Source organism: Homo sapiens, chromosome 16, assembly GCF_000001405.40.
Source record: "Homo sapiens chromosome 16, GRCh38.p14 Primary Assembly".
NCBI classification, from domain to species: domain Eukaryota; kingdom Metazoa; phylum Chordata; class Mammalia; order Primates; family Hominidae; genus Homo; species Homo sapiens.
Window position 1 is genome coordinate 1673881 of NC_000016.10, and position 15783 is coordinate 1689663.

General features: G+C 50.2%; 2 protein-coding genes across 7 annotated transcripts in view, besides 4 other annotated features; both read left to right on the top strand.

Annotated features, from left to right (window-relative positions):
- Positions 1–4028, top strand: part of CRAMP1 (cramped chromatin regulator 1) — a 65549-nt gene extending 61521 nt beyond the window's left edge. Inside the window, exon 21 of the mRNA NM_020825.4 lies at positions 1–4028. Coding sequence (NP_065876.3) covers positions 1–165 — 165 coding nt within the window. The 3' untranslated portion in view covers positions 166–4028.
- Positions 4026–4425: a silencer, noted in NCBI's record as "silent region_6995". NCBI's record gives its function as "represses an Ori minimal core promoter by ATAC-STARR-seq in GM12878 lymphoblastoid cells {active_cell/tissue: GM12878}" and the evidence as "EXISTENCE:reporter gene assay evidence [ECO:0000049][PMID:35858748]".
- Positions 4026–4891: a biological region, named in NCBI's record as "NANOG-H3K27ac-H3K4me1 hESC enhancer GRCh37_chr16:1728137-1728772".
- Positions 4256–4891: an enhancer, noted in NCBI's record as "NANOG-H3K27ac-H3K4me1 hESC enhancer chr16:1728137-1728772 (GRCh37/hg19 assembly coordinates)". NCBI's record gives its function as "activates a minimal SCP1, AML or CMV promoter by ChIP-STARR-seq in naive H9 embryonic stem cells {active_cell/tissue: H9 hESC(naive)}" and the evidence as "EXISTENCE:reporter gene assay evidence [ECO:0000049][PMID:30033119]".
- The window catches only part of JPT2 (Jupiter microtubule associated homolog 2), a 24581-nt gene continuing 13196 nt past the window's right edge, over positions 4399–15783 (top strand). For 3 of the 6 annotated variants that reach the window (NM_001434668.1, NM_144570.3, NM_001434666.1), the window contains exons 1-2: positions 4399–4476; positions 11559–11707. In NM_001434668.1, coding sequence (NP_001421597.1) covers positions 4433–4476; positions 11559–11707 — 193 coding nt within the window. In that variant the 5' untranslated portion in view covers positions 4399–4432. Of the gene's footprint in view, positions 4477–6482; positions 6619–9628; positions 9713–11558; positions 11708–15783 lie in introns of those variants that run through there. The other 3 variants (NM_001434665.1, NM_001434664.1, NM_001434667.1) reach the window with 2 other exon arrangements.
- Positions 4456–4815: a silencer, noted in NCBI's record as "silent region_6996". NCBI's record gives its function as "represses an Ori minimal core promoter by ATAC-STARR-seq in GM12878 lymphoblastoid cells {active_cell/tissue: GM12878}" and the evidence as "EXISTENCE:reporter gene assay evidence [ECO:0000049][PMID:35858748]".

Here is a 15783-nt window from a genome sequence, read left to right on the forward strand (position 1 = left end):
GTTGTGGATTCCCAGCTGGTGTGCATGATGAACGAAAACAGCATTGATTACATTTCTCGGTTCAATGACCTGGCCCAAGAGCTGTCCATCGCTGAGCCTGGCCGCCGAGAAGCTCTGTTTGATGGTGGTGGAGGCGGCCCCGCTGTCAGTGACCTGTCCCAGTGACCACACGTCCTGGTGGCGGATGAAGCCCTCTTCGAGCTAGAGAAAAATAGATAAGCCCAGCAGCCCCAGAAGATGGTCTGAACAGAGGCATCTCCGCACCCAAGACTGTGCAACGGGCAGGAACGTGGTCACAGAGCTGCTTCCCCACGAGCAGCAGGCAACGGCGTCCAAGGAGACTAGGATGAGTTCTTGGCAAGGGCCAGCGTTAGAAATCACTGTGGTACTAGAGCCGTTCTTCACCACGCCTGGGCCCATGTTAGGGTCTGCATAATGATCCCATTTCAGCCTGTGCTCTGCCTCGATTGTTGTGTTGGACATTCCGGTGGCATTTCCTTCTGAGACAAGGGAGTATGTGTGCCTTGGTGTAGTTGCTGTGCACTAGGAGCTGTGATCTCCCTCTCTGCAGGGAGGCCCCAGCCCCTGCTGCTTGCTTTCTGCCAAACCTGTGCTATGCATCAGCTGTGCCCTCTGTGGACTGTAACGGGCAGGACAGTTGGGTGTGGCCTGGGCTCATGCCTGGTGGTGTCACATCCCAAGGCAGCAAGAGCATGGATACCGATCACAGGGCTGCTGCGGAGTCGTGGGGCCCTGGGCTGGTGCCTCCCCTCCCTAGAGGTTTTGTTCGTACTCTTAACAGGGAGTGGGGGCAGGAAGAGTCCTGTACTATGCAGGTTGTGTGGACTTTACATGGGACCCTGCTAAGCTGGTTGAAAATGTTTTTCTTGTGTTTTAAGAATTAGGAGACATGGAAGAGGAAGAACAAAGTCCCCTCTGTAGTTGGTTTCCTTCCTGTGTCCCTTTGCAAGCTTCCAGGCGATCTAAGGTGTCATTTCTCCCTCCTGGGGTGACCCTTAGGCGCTAATATGATTACAGCGAAGACTTTCCTGATAAGTTCTCAAACTCGATGTGTGACTGTTTGGCACTTGAGACAAACCTGCCTTTGCAGGGAAAGTGTCTCTCACGGGCATTGGTGTGGGCGTGCCTGACATACGTGTTCAGTCCCTTGCATACCTTTGCCTTGAGACTTCTGTGTCTCCTTCCCATTTGGGACACCCAGGTGAGGGCCCAGACATCTGGATGTGGTCAGACCTCACCAAATATATGCCTTCGTGGTGGTCTCCCTCCTTGCGCCCTCTTGGGTGGCCAGCGTTCCTACTGCAGACGGCCCAACATCCAGTCTTTCCCCAGGACAGAGCTAACAAGGGCCCCTTTGCCTTCTCATCCTCAGGAGTTCCAGGCACATGAGTCACCGTCCATCCACATCCAGTGTGGCCTGGAGCTGCTACAGAGGTGTTGGGCAGGCCATGCCTGTGCCGCCATCTCTCCCTTCCTGCCTCATTTCATCCCCCGCAGCAGCCGGGATTGATTGTGCTTTCCTAACCCCCTTGGACCTACTCTCCCTCCTCCCCACCATTCCTCTTCCCCCACATGTGTGGCACGCTGCAGCCCTCAAGGCCAGCCCTGGCCCCTCCACTGCTTCTCTCCCCATCCACAATGGAGAAGGTGAAAAGAGGAGGGAAAGGCCTTTGGTGTGGACAAGCATGTGGACGCCCTCCGTCCTGCAGTCTTGCCAGCCCACCACAGCCACTGTAGACCACAGGCAGGCCGTGTACTGCACCACTGGGAGGACGTGGAGAGGACAGTGAACTTCCAGGCAAGAGCTTCCTTCTTTTGTCTCACGAGTTTTTCTTAGAGCTCTTGCCTGAGCTGGCTTCCCTCCTTCAGACATTGACATGAGATCTTAAGCAAACAGTCCCAAACCTCTTAGGGGTGAAAAAAGAAACATGCCACTTGATTAGGAGAGAGACAGCAGTGTTTGAACTACAGCATCTTTACACTAGCTTGTGTTTTGTGCTACGTATACCAGCTTCCAAAATTAGCATCTCATTGAGCCAGAGAAGACAAGGAGATCTCCCTCTGGGCATCTGGCTTTGCTGCGTCTCTAGAGGGTTAGGATACCAGGCCGAGTTCAGGCCACTGCTAGCTTTCTCATACTCCCACAGGCTAGACCAGAGATGCCAAGTCCCAACAGCACTGAGCTGTGTGCACTGTGCCAGGGACAGGAGGGTTTGTGAACTGCCTGTCAGGGTACCTGTTAGCCCCTGACAACTCAGTGGGGTGAAGTTTTGGAGGTCAGAGTCTGCTTTCGTAGGCTCTTTAGACAGCACCTACCACTTGGTTCTCCAGCGTAGACTCCTGGGAGCAGCCAACTGCAGCCATTGCCATCCAGTGGGGAGATGGGTTAGGGAGGAGGACGGGCTGACTCCTCTCCTGTAATAAAGCTGACAAGAGTTCTAGAGGATTCTGCTTCTCTAGTAACTAGACAGGTGATACGCATTTGCTTGCCACATTAAGGGAAAATGGTGTCATTTGTTGCAGAAAAACAATGGATACATTTTCTTCTGGCCTAAATGAATATTTATGTGCAAACATAGGCAACTGTTAAAGGCTGGAATTTTCAAAAGATCCAAACAGAGACTTCCTGCATCTTCTGCCTTTCCAACAGAAGCGGTGATCGTCTAAGTATGAGCCTGTGGCTTCCTTTGTGCATTTGAGCATGCTGTAATTAAGATGAGATCAGTTTCTTAGAAAAAGCTTTCCTGAATCCCTCTGACGTTGCCTGGGATCTTTCTGTTGATTCGTCTTTTCTGGAGATTGGGACAGAGCATCTGTGGTCCAGGGAAGTTAGTCCTCTGGCCTCAATTCTGTTGTGGATGTGCAGTGATAAGCGGGCATTGCGTGCCTCGGGGGATGCCTAGTTCGTGGCTTCCTGGCTGTTTTGTCCTTCTGTGTCTTGTAGCTGTAGGGTGCCAGCTCAGGGAGTGGGGTGTTGGCGGCGTTTCCGCGGTTGGCCTCCTTGCTTTGCCGCACCTCCAGGTTCTGGGCATGAGAGGCCGTGGCCTCATTTCTGGTGGATAACCTTTTTAGTTTAATAGCATCTTTAATTAGATCACAGCATTGAATTCAAAATTTCTTCTGCAAAGAAAGTTGTGGGGCATAAGACACCGGGAATGAGGGAGGAGGAAGACAGTTGTGTTTTCTCTTTAAACCTTGAGCTCTAGCCGATGCATTTGTCAGGAAATACAGCACTTTGTCTTAAGAAAACAAGGAAGGAGGCCGGGCGCAGTGGCTCACGCCTGTAATCCCAGCACTTTGGGAGGCCGAGGCGGGCGGATCACCTGAGGTGGGGAGTATGAGACCACCCTGACTAACATGGAGAGACCCTGTCTCTACTAAAAGTACAGAATTAGCCGGGCGTGGTGGCGCATGCCCATAATCCCAGCTACTGAGGAGACTTGAGGTAGGAGAATCACTTGAACCTCAGCGGCGGAGGTTGCAGTGAGTCGAGATCGCGCCAGTGCACTCCAGCCTGGGCAAGAAGAGCGAAACTGGGTCTCAAGTTAAAAAAAGAAAGCAAGGAAAGAGTAATTTACAACGAAGGAAAAAAACCCACAGCACACCCTTCGCGGCTGTCAGCGCTCTCCTGATGTCACAGTGGCTGCGTGTCCTTGGGGTGGGTGAGGTGTGGGGAGCCCAGCCCCTGGCCCTGCCTCCCGCGCCCCGCTCCCCTTCTCTCTCTTACTCGGTTAAGCCATAGCGAGGCCTCCGCTCGTTTCAGATATGAATTTGTTTTATAGATTATAAATATGCATATACAGTGTATGTATAAAGCAGAATGCCTGCCTTTCCTGGTTATTTTTTGTACCATATTGTAAATTATATTATTTATTCTTTACCAATTTTGGGAATAAAAGGTGTTTTGGTTATTTAATATAATAAGAGCTGTTAAACTTCTGTTTAAATTTCCAGTTCAACTTGTAAATGTTTTTATTGTGCATAAATACATACTAATGTTGATCTAAGGACTGTCGTTTGTGCCTGTTCTTCAGGGCCGCGCGCCCATGCCCGCAGTCCCTGGTCGGGCAGGTGCGGCCCAGGTGCGGCCCCGCGGTCGGCTCGCGGGCTCCCGCAGACCGGGCTTCCTCCCGAGGGCGCGGCCGTCCCAGGGCCCGCCCGGCCCGCCGCCCAATGCGAGCTCCCACCTCCGCGAGCGGCGTCGCCTTCCCCAATCGGCTGCGGGCGCGGCGCCGACCGTTCAAAGCCTAAGTCGTCGGGGGTGGGCGTGAGGGGCGGTGGCCGCGCTGAGATAGGCTGCGGAGGGATGATTGGCGTCTTGGCGCCCAATGGGCGCTGGCGGGCGGCCTTGAGTACCTGCGCTGGGCGGGCGGGAACGGCGCGCGGCGAGCTGAGGGTGGCGGCGGTCGACATGTTCCAGGTCCCGGATAGCGAGGGCGGCCGCGCCGGCTCCAGGTGCGGCGCGGGGCACACGGGAGGCGGGCGGATAGCGCGACCACGTGGCGGGAGCGGGCCAGCCCAGGGCGTCCACCAGCCGTGTGGGGTTGGGGTGGGGTTGGGGGGCAGGGCGACCTCACAGAGGCCCTCGGGGCCGCCGCCCGCCTTTCTGCGCCGCCGCCAGACCGAGGCCCGAAGCCCGAGGGGCCGCTCGCTGAGGCCCGGGCTGTGGAGAGCTGCCCGCGACCGAGGCCGAGGGCGGGGAGGGGCGCCCGGGCTCTGGGAACAAAGCTGTGTGGAGGGCGGGCTGCGCTCCCTCGCGCCTGGGCGCCCGCGTTCCGTGTGGTGCGTTCCGTGGGGGGTTTCCTGGGGGCGGGGTGTGCCCGTGGGTGCGGCCCATTTTGTCTGTGGGATGCGTGTCCATGTTCCCGGGGGGGTGTCCCTAAGGGGTGTGCGGCGATGTGTTCGTGGGGGGTGTCTGGCCATGCCCCCGCTCCTGTGCGTGTGGCCGTGTGCCCGTGTCCCTGGTGTGTGTGTGGCCTGTGCCCTGCCCATGGCCGCGCTTCCACTAGTTCATGTGAGTCCACTTCCTTTGGAAAGTGCCAGGGCGTCTGGGGAAGAGTCAGTTCTATCTCCTGGGAAGGTGGATGGCGCTCCTGGGCTTCGCTGTAGGAAGAAGTGGATTGGGACGAAGATATCCTGACTCAGCTTTAATAGCCAGGAACACTGAGCACACTTTTCTTATGTTTTTGAACTTTTAAAGCACTCTTTGGGTATTGGGACTCGCATGAATTAGAGGGACAGAGCTTACAAGGTCTTTCGTGCCACTTGAGCAGTAAACTTGCATTGTGAAGTTTGGGTCTTCAGATGCCTGAGGTTTTCTGTATGATGAGCCCCTCTGTGGCACAGCCTCGCCAGAGAAGTAGAAGAGAATATGTGTGCCATGACTGTTAAGACCAATACTATATTGCTTCTCAGCCTTTTGGCTATGATCAAGTGAAGACAAATACTATATTGAATAAATACTAAGTAAAAGAATTGCTCCAACTTGCTAAAAATAAAAACCCTTTAGATTGGCCGGGCGTGGTGGCTCACACCTGTAATCACGGCACTTTGGGAGGCTGAGGTGGGCGAGTCACGTGAGGTCAAGAGTTCGAGACCAGCCTGGCCAACATGGTGAAACCCCCGTCTCTACTAAAAATGCAAAAATTAGCCAGGCGTGGTGGTGTGTGCCTGTAGTCCCAGCTACTTGGAGAGGCTGAGACAGGAGAATCACTTGAACCCAGAGGCAGAGGTGGCAGCGAGCCAAGATAATGCCACTGCACTCCAGCCTGTACGACAGAGCAAGACTCCGTCTCAAAAAAAAAAAAAACCCTTTAGATTTGAGGGAGTTAGGTCAGTATTCAGTAATACTTGTAACCAAATAATTACCCGTGGCAGGGTGCAGTGACTCAACGGCTGTAATCCCGGCACTTGGGGAGGCCGAGGCAGGTGGACCACGAGATCAGGAGATCGAGACCATCCTGGCCAACACGGTGAAACCCCGTCTCTACTAAAAATACGAAAAAATTAGCCGGGTGTGGGGTGGCGGGTGCCTGTAGTCCCAGTTCCTTGAGAGGCTGAGGCAGGAGAATGGTGTGAACCCGGGAGGCGGAGCTTGCAGTGAGCCGAGATCACACCACTGCACTCCAGCCTGGATGACAGAGCAAGACTCCGTCTCAAAGAAACAGCCCTTCATCCATGGAACAGTGATTATTATGCCTAGGTCTGCACCGATGTGGGACCAGGAGTTTAAACTAGTGCTCAGAGCGAATCCGGTTTCTGGTTCCTGGTGGCCAGAGTTTTGCACCACCCACATCAGTGGGGGGAGGGACTGCATCCCCAGCCCTGTCCCAGTTGTGTGCATTTAGTACGTTTCCTTTTTGTTTGTGCTGCCTGGCACTGGCTGCCCGGTAAATGATGGTGTTTATTATCACCCTGAGCGACGCCGATGTTTTTATATTGACTTTCACGCTCCAGAAGTTAGCTGCACAGGGCCGCACTAAAGTCATACTCACACTACCCTGGGGGACTGGTTTCTGGACAAGGTGTTGAGAAAGGGAGAAAACTCTTCCTTTTAGGATGGTGAGGAAGGAAAGCCGGTCTGAACTGGATGATGAGGTATCACTGGAAGCTTCTGCTTGGGGTCCACCAGACGCTGCACATTTGCCACTCATCTGAACGGGGTCGAGTCGCAGGGCGGGCGCCTTGTAAGCGTCACATTTAGTTTTGCTGTGAAGCGAGTCAGGTGGTGGCTGTAAGATTACCTAGCCAGGTTTTCCTCTCCTGAGACCTCACATCTCTCCTTTCCTTGCTGAGGGATTGTCTTGTGTTAAAGGGGTTTCGTAAAAGCGTTATGCTTTAGCCGCGATTAACCTGAGGTCTTCCTTCAAGCTGGAACATTTCTATTTGTAAGGAATTTAATCCAAGTTTATTTCTCACTGCTTCTCTCTAAGCCTGACCAGTCCCCTCATCCTTTCTGAAACTCGGGGACAAACTATTAGAGAGGGTCAGGAGCATGGAGACCCCCGAGGAGGGTCACACAGCTTTTCCCTACCTCTCCAGTGCTGCAGTCCACTCCAGCTGTGTGAGGTTTTTCTTCTCCTGTGCGCTTGAGTTTCTCTTGTGTGTTTTGAATATCTTCACTGAAATATATGGAAGGGGTACCACAAAAGGCAAAAAATAATTGGGAAGCACCCCCCACTCACATTGTGAATTTGTCCCCAAATGTGTGAGCTCTAGCGTTCCCCCTCCCCCTATTAGTGTCATAGTGGTAAGTGCCTGTAGCCTAGAGAAAGCCACACTGCGCCATTGTTGTCGGGCTGTTTTTGTTGAAAGGTCTATTGAACGCTCAGTTCCATTCATCCGAGACCCCTTTGAGGCAGCCCAGCCCTGCGGTCTGTGTGAAACCTGCAGTGGGACCTGTTGCCTTTGTGACCGAGATAGCCGCTGCCCCTTGCCTGGGGCTGGGCCTGTGTGCGCCATAATTTCTGCTAAAACCGTCTTTGGTACCACTTTTTTTTCTTTGCTTGTTTTCAAATAAAATTCAGAAAAGCACATAGAACAATATTAAATATTGTGTTTCCATCACCCCAAAGTAACACTGGTCATTGCAAGTAACTACCACTCACCTCCTGCGCCCATTGGTCCCCATTCCACATGGAGGCCACAGACTCAATTTGGGTTTCACCTCTTCCAAATTTTGGAGTCCCGATGGCACTAGGCGTCTGTCACGTCACTCACACAGACACTGAAACCACCTGTGCAGAGCTCTAGCTTTCCTGTTTAAACTTGAAGCTCCTCCGGGGTAAGGACTTGCTTTCCTCTATCTACGGCGTCTGGGGAAGGATTGCCAATGATAGGTGCTCGAGAGATGTGCAAGTTGAACTGAAGCAAGGGTGAAAGGCAGAGGAGACAGGAGACTGTGAATGTAGGGAATGTGGGGTCGGGAAAGAGTCCTACAGAGCTTGCAGTCAAGGCGAGTCTACCTGGAATCAGATCTGACAGTTTGTAGCACCTTGAGGGCTTGAGAGAAAAGCCATATTTGAAATAAGTCAGTAAAAGGAATTATAGCTCATGCTCAGCTCACATAAGACTTGATAAATTCAGTTCAGTTCGAAAGATTGCAGGCCTTCATCCCTTATTTCCAAAGAGAGAACTGTAGAGACCCGTGCATGTTTAGACCTGCTACACTATCCAAGAAAAATCGCAGAATTGGCTGGGCACAGTGGCTCACGCCTGTAATCCCAGCACTTTGGGAGGCCGAGGCGGGCGGATCACTTGAGGTCAGGAGTTTGAGACCAGCCTGGCCGACGTGGTGAAACCCCGTCTGTACTAAAAATACAAAAAAATAGCCAAGCACGGTGACGCACACCTGTAATCCCAGCTACTCGGAAGGCTGAGGCGGGAGAATTGCTTGAACCTGGGAGGTGGAGGTTGCGGTGAGCTGAGATCGCGTCACTGTATTCCAGCCTGGTAACAGAGTGAGACTCCATCTCAAAAAAATAAAATAGGCCGGACACAGTGGCTCATGCCTGTAATCCCAGCACTTTGGGAGGCTGAGGTGGGCGGATCACCTGAGGTCAGAAGTTCAAGACCAGCCTGGCCAACATGGTGAAACCCCGTCTCTACTAAAAATAGAAAAATTAGCTGGGCATGGTGGCGGGCATCTGTAATCCCAGCTACTCAGGAGCCTGAGGCAGGAGAATCGCCTGAACCCAGGAGGTGGAGATTGCAGTGAGCCGAGATTGTGCCATTGCACTCTGGCCTGGGCAACAAGAGCGAGATTTCGTCTCAAAAAAAAAAAAAAATGTAGAATTAGGAGGGCTGCGTGATTCAAAAATGGATATGGAAGTCAGATGGCCTTATGGCCACTCTAAGAGCACCTCACCTAAAATCTTGTTAAGCCACGCCCTCCCACCCACCACCCTTTATTTTTTTTCCTTTTGGTGAAACAAGTCCTCACTCTTTCGTCCAGGCTGGTGTACAGTGATGCAATCATGGTTCACTGCAGCTTTGACCTCCTGGGCTCAAGCCAGCCTTAGCCTCCCGAATAACTGGGACAACAGGCGCATACCACCACACCCAGCTAATTTTTTGTTTGTTTGTTTGTTTTTTTGAGACGGAATCTCGCTCTGTCACCCAGGCTGGAATGCAGTGGCGCATCTTGGTTCACTGCAAGCTCCGCCTCCCGGGTTCACGCCATTCTCCTGCCCCAGCCTCCTGAGTAGCTGGGACTACAGGCGTCCGCCACCACGCCCGGCTAATTTTTTGTATTTTTAGTAGAGACGGGATTTCACCGTGTTAGCCAGGATGGTCTCGATCTCCTGACCTCGTGATCCGCCCACCTCGGCCTCCCAAGGTGCTGGGATTACAGGCGTGAGCCACCACGCCTGGCCTTATTTTTGTATTTTTTGTAGAGACAGGGTCTCCCCATATGCCCAGGCGTGTCTCGAACTCCTGGGCTCAAACAGTCCTCCCACCTCGGCCTCCCAAGGTGCTGGGATTACAGGTGCCAGGTACTGCTCCCGGACAGCCCTTTCTCATTTAAGCTTGGTTATTGGTTATTTTTAAAAAATAATTTTTCTTAAGTGCACCTGTCTTTTTTTTTCTCCCTCCTCAAATCCTCCAGGAAATGGCAACTGCTGACAGGAAGTTTGGCATCCACCTCCCCCAGCCTCCTGAGTGGACAGGGGCCCTGGGCACCACTTCAGAGGTCGGCCAGCACACGCTTGGTTTCTGGGGTACAGTAGCCAGCCCGTGGGTCTCTGCAGGCGGAGACTGAAGCACTCTCTGCCTTCCTGCTTTATAGCAGGAGATCTGAGAACTCCATTCACATCCAGTCACAAGGAGCCCTCAGCGCTCTTTCTAGATCTTTTGAGGAGAAACTGTTATTTTTGTTAACCAAACCTTGAGTGGTCAGTGTTTGCAAAGCTTTCCAGTGAGATCTAACCTCATATCATAGTTTTTGTGTGATGTTGAGCCCTGTAATTTCAAGTATGGTCATCCTTGGTATCCTGCGGGAGTTGGTTCCAGGACCCCCAGGATGCCAAAATCCAAGGATGTGTAAGTCCTTGATATAAAGTGGTGTAATGTTTGCATATAACCTATGCACATCCTCCATATGCTTTTAAATCATCTCTAGGTTACAAGGTTACATATAATACCTAATACTATGCACATAGTTGTTACACCGTATCACCTGGGGAATAATGACAGAAAAGAAGTCTGTAGATGTTCAGTACAGATGCAACCATCCTTTTATTTCTGACATTTTGATCTGAGGTTGGTTGAATCCATGGAAGCAGAGCCCGTGGATACAGAGGGCTGACTTCGTTTCTAAACGTCTGGGATCACAGACAGTCCCATTGCTTAGGACTAGTGAGAGAGCATGTGCCACTCACTGGTTTAAATCTCAATTTCAGTAAGCCTCTCTCTCAAATGCATTTAAAAGTTTTTCCAGTTGTTATGAATTCAGCGTTTCACCGGTTTTTAATGTAGATAGTGCTCTAGAAATAGAGCTTTGTGGCAATTCCTTATTAGTTCTTAAGTTTAAGTTTTTACAATAAAAAGTGATTCAAGAGCCAGGTGCGATGGCCCACACCTGTAATCCCAGCACTTTGGGAGGCCGAGGCAGGTGGATCACCCCAGGTCAGGAGTTCGAGACCAACCTGACCAACATGGCGAAACCCCGTCTCTACTAAAAATACAAAATTAGCTGGGTGTGGTGGCGCATACCTGTAATCCTAGCTACGTGGGAGGCTGAGGCAGAAGAATTGCTTGAACCCAGGAGGCGGAGGTTGTGGTGAGCTGAGATTGCGCCATTGCATTCCTCCAGCCTGGGCAACAAGAGTAAAACTCCGTCTCAAAAAAAACAAACAAAAGTTAGCCAGGTGTTGTGGCAGGCACCTGTAATCTGAGCTACTCAGGAGACTGAGGCTGGAGAATCACTTGAACCCAGGAGGCAGAGGTTGCAGTGAGCTGAGATCGTGCCACTGCACTCCAGCCTGGGCGACAGAGCGAGACTCCATCTCAAAAAAAAAAAAAAAAGAATACTTTTAAGGGAAACTAAAGAGCAGCAGAAGTAGTCTGGCGTCTGTAAACTAGTCATACCAGTATTAACTAATGGTGGTATGTGATTTCTCAGTAGATGTTAAGAAAATACTTTTGCTGGGTATGGTGGCTCATACCTGTAATCACAGCACTTTGGGACGCCAAGGTGGGCAGATCACTTGAGCTTAGGGGTTCAAGACCAACTTTGGCAACATGGCAAAACCCTGTCTCTACCAAAAATACAAAAAATTAGCCAGCTGTGGTGGTGGGTGCCTGTAATCCCAGCTACTCAGGAGGCTGAGGTGGGAGGATCACTTGAGCCCAGGAGGCAGAGGTTGCAGTGAGCCAAAATCACGTCACTGCGCTCCAGCCTGGGTGACAGAATGAGACCTTGTCTCAAAAAGAAAAAAACAAAATACTTTTACCCTGTCTAGTTGTGCCAAAATCCTTGCACAGTGACAAGCTTTCAGGTCTGCCATCAGTAATTGGCATGTACTCTGTGCTTGTAGGGCCATGAAGCCCCCAGGAGGAGAATCGAGCAATCTTTTTGGAAGTCCAGAAGAAGCTACTCCTTCCAGCAGGCCTAATAGGATGGCATCTAATATTTTTGGACCAACAGAAGAACCTCAGAACATACCCAAGAGGACAAATCCCCCAGGTATGGGCCTTTGGAAATCCTTAATCCTTTGGCCTCCACGATTCTCTTTTGAAAATATTTTCTGTTTCTTTATACTGATCCTTTCCCATATTGTCTGGTTCAGGTAATCACTTGTTATCAGAGTTCTTCCAAAATGAAAACGTTCTGATTTGTACTTTCTCTCTTGAAGGTGACTTGAGTAGTCTTGAATTCTCCATCTGTTCTGGAGACTTTGGTTGAATACAGGCACTGAGGACACAAAAGTGGACGGGGGCTTCTGGTTCCTGCCAGGGAGCTGCTCCCAATTGTTCCACGGACCCCCATGAGATTCCTGAAATTGCGTGCAAATTATTGTGCATTTAAACATTTTTCCTAGGGAGGGAGAGTGTTTTTATTCAGATCGTCAGTGGGATTGAAACTCTTAACAAGGAAGAATTGATCTAGCACACATCTACATAGTTCTTCAGTATTTACCCAACCTCCTAGTGGTTACAGTAGGAGGGACTCTTTGAAAAAGGTTTCTTGGCCAGGCGCGGTGGCTCATGCCTGTAATCCCAGCACTTTGGGAGGCCAAGGTGTGCAGATCACGAGGTCAGGAGATCGAGACCATCCTGGCTAACACAGTGAAACCCCATCTCTACTAAAAAAGAAAAAAAATTAGCCGGGCGTGGTGGCGGGCACCTGTAGTCCCAGCTACTCAGGAGGCTGAGGCAGGAGAATGGCATGAACCCAGGAGGCGGAGCTTGCAGTGAGCCGGGATCGCACCACTGCATTCTAGCCTGGGTGACAGAGCGAGACTCCGTCTCAAAAAAAAAAAGAAAAAGAAAAAGAAAAAGGTTTCTCAGCCGGGCGTGGTGGCTCATGCCTGTAATCCTAGCACTTTGGGAGGCCAAGGCAGGTGATCATGAGGTCAAGAGTTTGAGACCAGCCTGGCCGACATGGCAAAACTCCATCTGTACTAAAAATACAAAAATTAGCTGGGTGTGGTGGTGCACGCCTATAATCCCAGCTACTCAGGAGGCTGAGGCAGGAGAATCACTTGAACCCGGGAGGTGGAGGTGGCAGTGAGCCAAATTCATGCCACTGCACTCCAGCCTGGGTGACAGCTAGACTCCATCTCAAAAAGAAAAAAAAAAAAAAATAGAAAAAGGTTTCTCTTGGCTGATAGACTGTCCAGTTGAATAACCACCCAGTGGAGGTTACCTGAGTCGCTTTCCCCCGTCTGTACAAGAGGGGAAAGCATGGTCTCTTCCATCCTTAGAAGGTTTGAGAGGCCGTGCTTAGGTGTCACTGTGTCAGGCAGGTCATGAATCAGAGCCAGATCCACTCCCGACCTCACTCCGTTTTGGGGTACCAATATTTATTGACCAAATGTAGAGGAAAAAAAGCAGTAGATCCAGAAACTAGTTTTTTCTTTTGTTTTTAGTCTGTTTTGAGACGGGGTCTCACTCTGTCGCCCAGGCTGGAGTGCAGTGTCACCACCATGACTCACTGCAGCCTTGACTTCCCAGGCTCAGGTGACCCTTTTTCCTCAGCCTCCTGAGTGGCTGGGACTACGGGCGTATGCCACCATGCTTAGGTAATTTTTTTTTGTATTTTTTGTGGAGACAGGGTTTAACCATGTTGCCTAGGCTGGTCTCGAACTCCTGGGCTCAAGCCATCTGCCCACCTCGGCCTCTCAAATTGCTGAGATTACAGACATGCACCCTTGTGCCCGGCCGAAGCTAGGTTTGCTGCTTGCCTTTTTTTGGTCTGTTTGGTTGCTTTTTTGGTTGTTAGAGAAATGAGTGTTTCTTATTAAGTGACTAACATTCTCGTTGTTTCCGGTTTATGAATTTAGGCCCAGGGACTCCTGCATGTCCTTTTTAGCAAGGATAGCAGAATAATATATCGCATGCAAGATAGAATCCTATCTGAGCCATTTCCAGGTGTATGAATCTGCTCATTTGGCCCCTACTCAGCAGAGTCATGTCTGGAGCTGTTCCTAGAGCACTCCATGGAAGGCAGGCGGTACCACTTTGCCCGTTCCACATGGTCTCATGCCCAGTGGGGAGCCCGGCCCCTTGCGGTTAGTGAGCCAGCCTCTACTCCTGGTCACAGTGTGTGGTGCCAGCCATCATGGCTCCCCATGCCAGGTTCCTGCTTCTCATGGTCCTTCTCACGGTTGTTGGGAGTTTTCCTATCTCTCCAGTGCTCTTGGAAGACGGTTTATGGTATATTATCAAGGGAAGCCTGAAAGGGAAACTGCTAGTTGTGTTCACCACCCAACGAGATCTGGAGTCCTGCCTTCTTTCTACACTTAGTCACACAGACCTAGCCCCACAGCCCTCTAGTTGCAGGGCTTGATTGAGAAAAGTATGCAGAGGCCGAGAGTGTGTGTGACCGACCACATCATAGCCATCGAATGTTTATCAATTCCCATTCAGTGTTTCAGTGAATCTTCAGTAGTCTCTGTGTTCTTTGTTAGTCACCTGGTTTAGATGTTCCATGAATTGTTCTTCCTCTTCTAGCAATGATGACCAACGTCTATGAATTGTTAATATTTACCGGGGACTGTGCTAAGTGCTTTGCATGTGTATTTTTCATTTGGTGTTCGCTATAACTAGGAGTAGGTTGTTTTGCTCCTTTCACAGAGGAGGAAACAGGCTTGGAAAAGGTCACTGGCATGCATAAATCCCAAGCTAGTCAGTAGCAGAGCTAGTCGGTAGCAGAACTAGTCCGTAGCAGAGCTAGTCGGTAGCAGACCTAGCCGGTAGCAGTGCTAGTCGGTGGCAGAGCTAGCCTTTGAATTGAGGTTTTTCTGACTCCAGATTCCATGCCTTAAACTGACTTCCTGAATGTATCCACTGGGATAAATTTCTCAAAATGGAATTGGTAGATCAGATGATATATGAGTTTAAAATATGGATAGATAGTTCCAACCGGTTTTTCAGGGCATTGCCTGGTGTTTACCATTCTTGTGTATGTGCTTATTTGCACCAGCAGTATTTATCTTTTAGTTTTGCTTTTAAAAACAAATCTTGTAGGCCAGGTGCGGTGGCTCACGCCTGTAATCCCAGCATTTTGGGAGGCCGAGGTGGGAGGATTGCCTGAGCCCAGGAGTTTGAAACTGGCTTGGGCAACATAGCGAGGCCCAATCTCCCAAATAAATAAATGATATTTTTAAAAACAAAATAACACAGAGCCCTTGGAAATCAAAAATCTAGCAGGAGGAAAAAACATCTCTCGAGTTTATCTTCAATTATTAGTGAATTTAAGCATGTTTTCTTGCTTCAAAGCTGAATTTATTTTTCAAGTAAAATGGTAATAGACATATGTGGTATGACTACCTAGTTATGAAGGTTAAAAGCAGAGGTACATTGTTTAGTACCTATTGCACGTATACGTGGTAAAAATGTTTGTGGTTTCCAAAAAATTCAGGAGTGTGGTAACCTTGGGTGAGAGTGAAGGAACACAGGAGTTTCTGGGAACGGGCACTGTTCTCGATGACTTTGGCAGTGGTTACCTGGTGTCTGCCTTGTAGTTATTTGTGATAGTTAATGTCTTACAGACTTTTCTGTTATGTTTCACAGTTTAACTATTTTTTAAAAATGAGTGATGTCTTTGGCCAAAAACTTCAAATTGAGTTACTTTTATCTTCTATTTTAAAAAGCTGGAGTCACATTAAAAAAAAAAAAAGTCAGCCGTTATAGCACAGCCAGGAACATTGCAGTGGGGGCTGGGGGTTGCACACACAGTTTTATCCGCCCCGTGGTCCTGACGTGCTTGTTGACACAGCCCTGCAGCATTGCTGAGGGCTTACTCAGCAGGCCAGGACTATTCTAACCACGTCACCTGAGTTAACTTGTTTAGCCTCACCAGTGACCCTAGGTAGGTATGATTATTTATTACCTTTTTTTTGTTTTGTTGGTTTTTTGAGACAGGATCTTAGTCTGTCACCCAGGCTACAGTGCAGTGGCACCATCACAGCTCACCGCCTCCAACTTCTGAGCTCAGGCAGTCCTCTCACCTCAACCTTCTGAGGAGCGGGACCAGAGGCTAATTTTAAAATATTTTTGTAGAGACAAGGTCTCACTTGTTTCCCACGCTAGTATTGA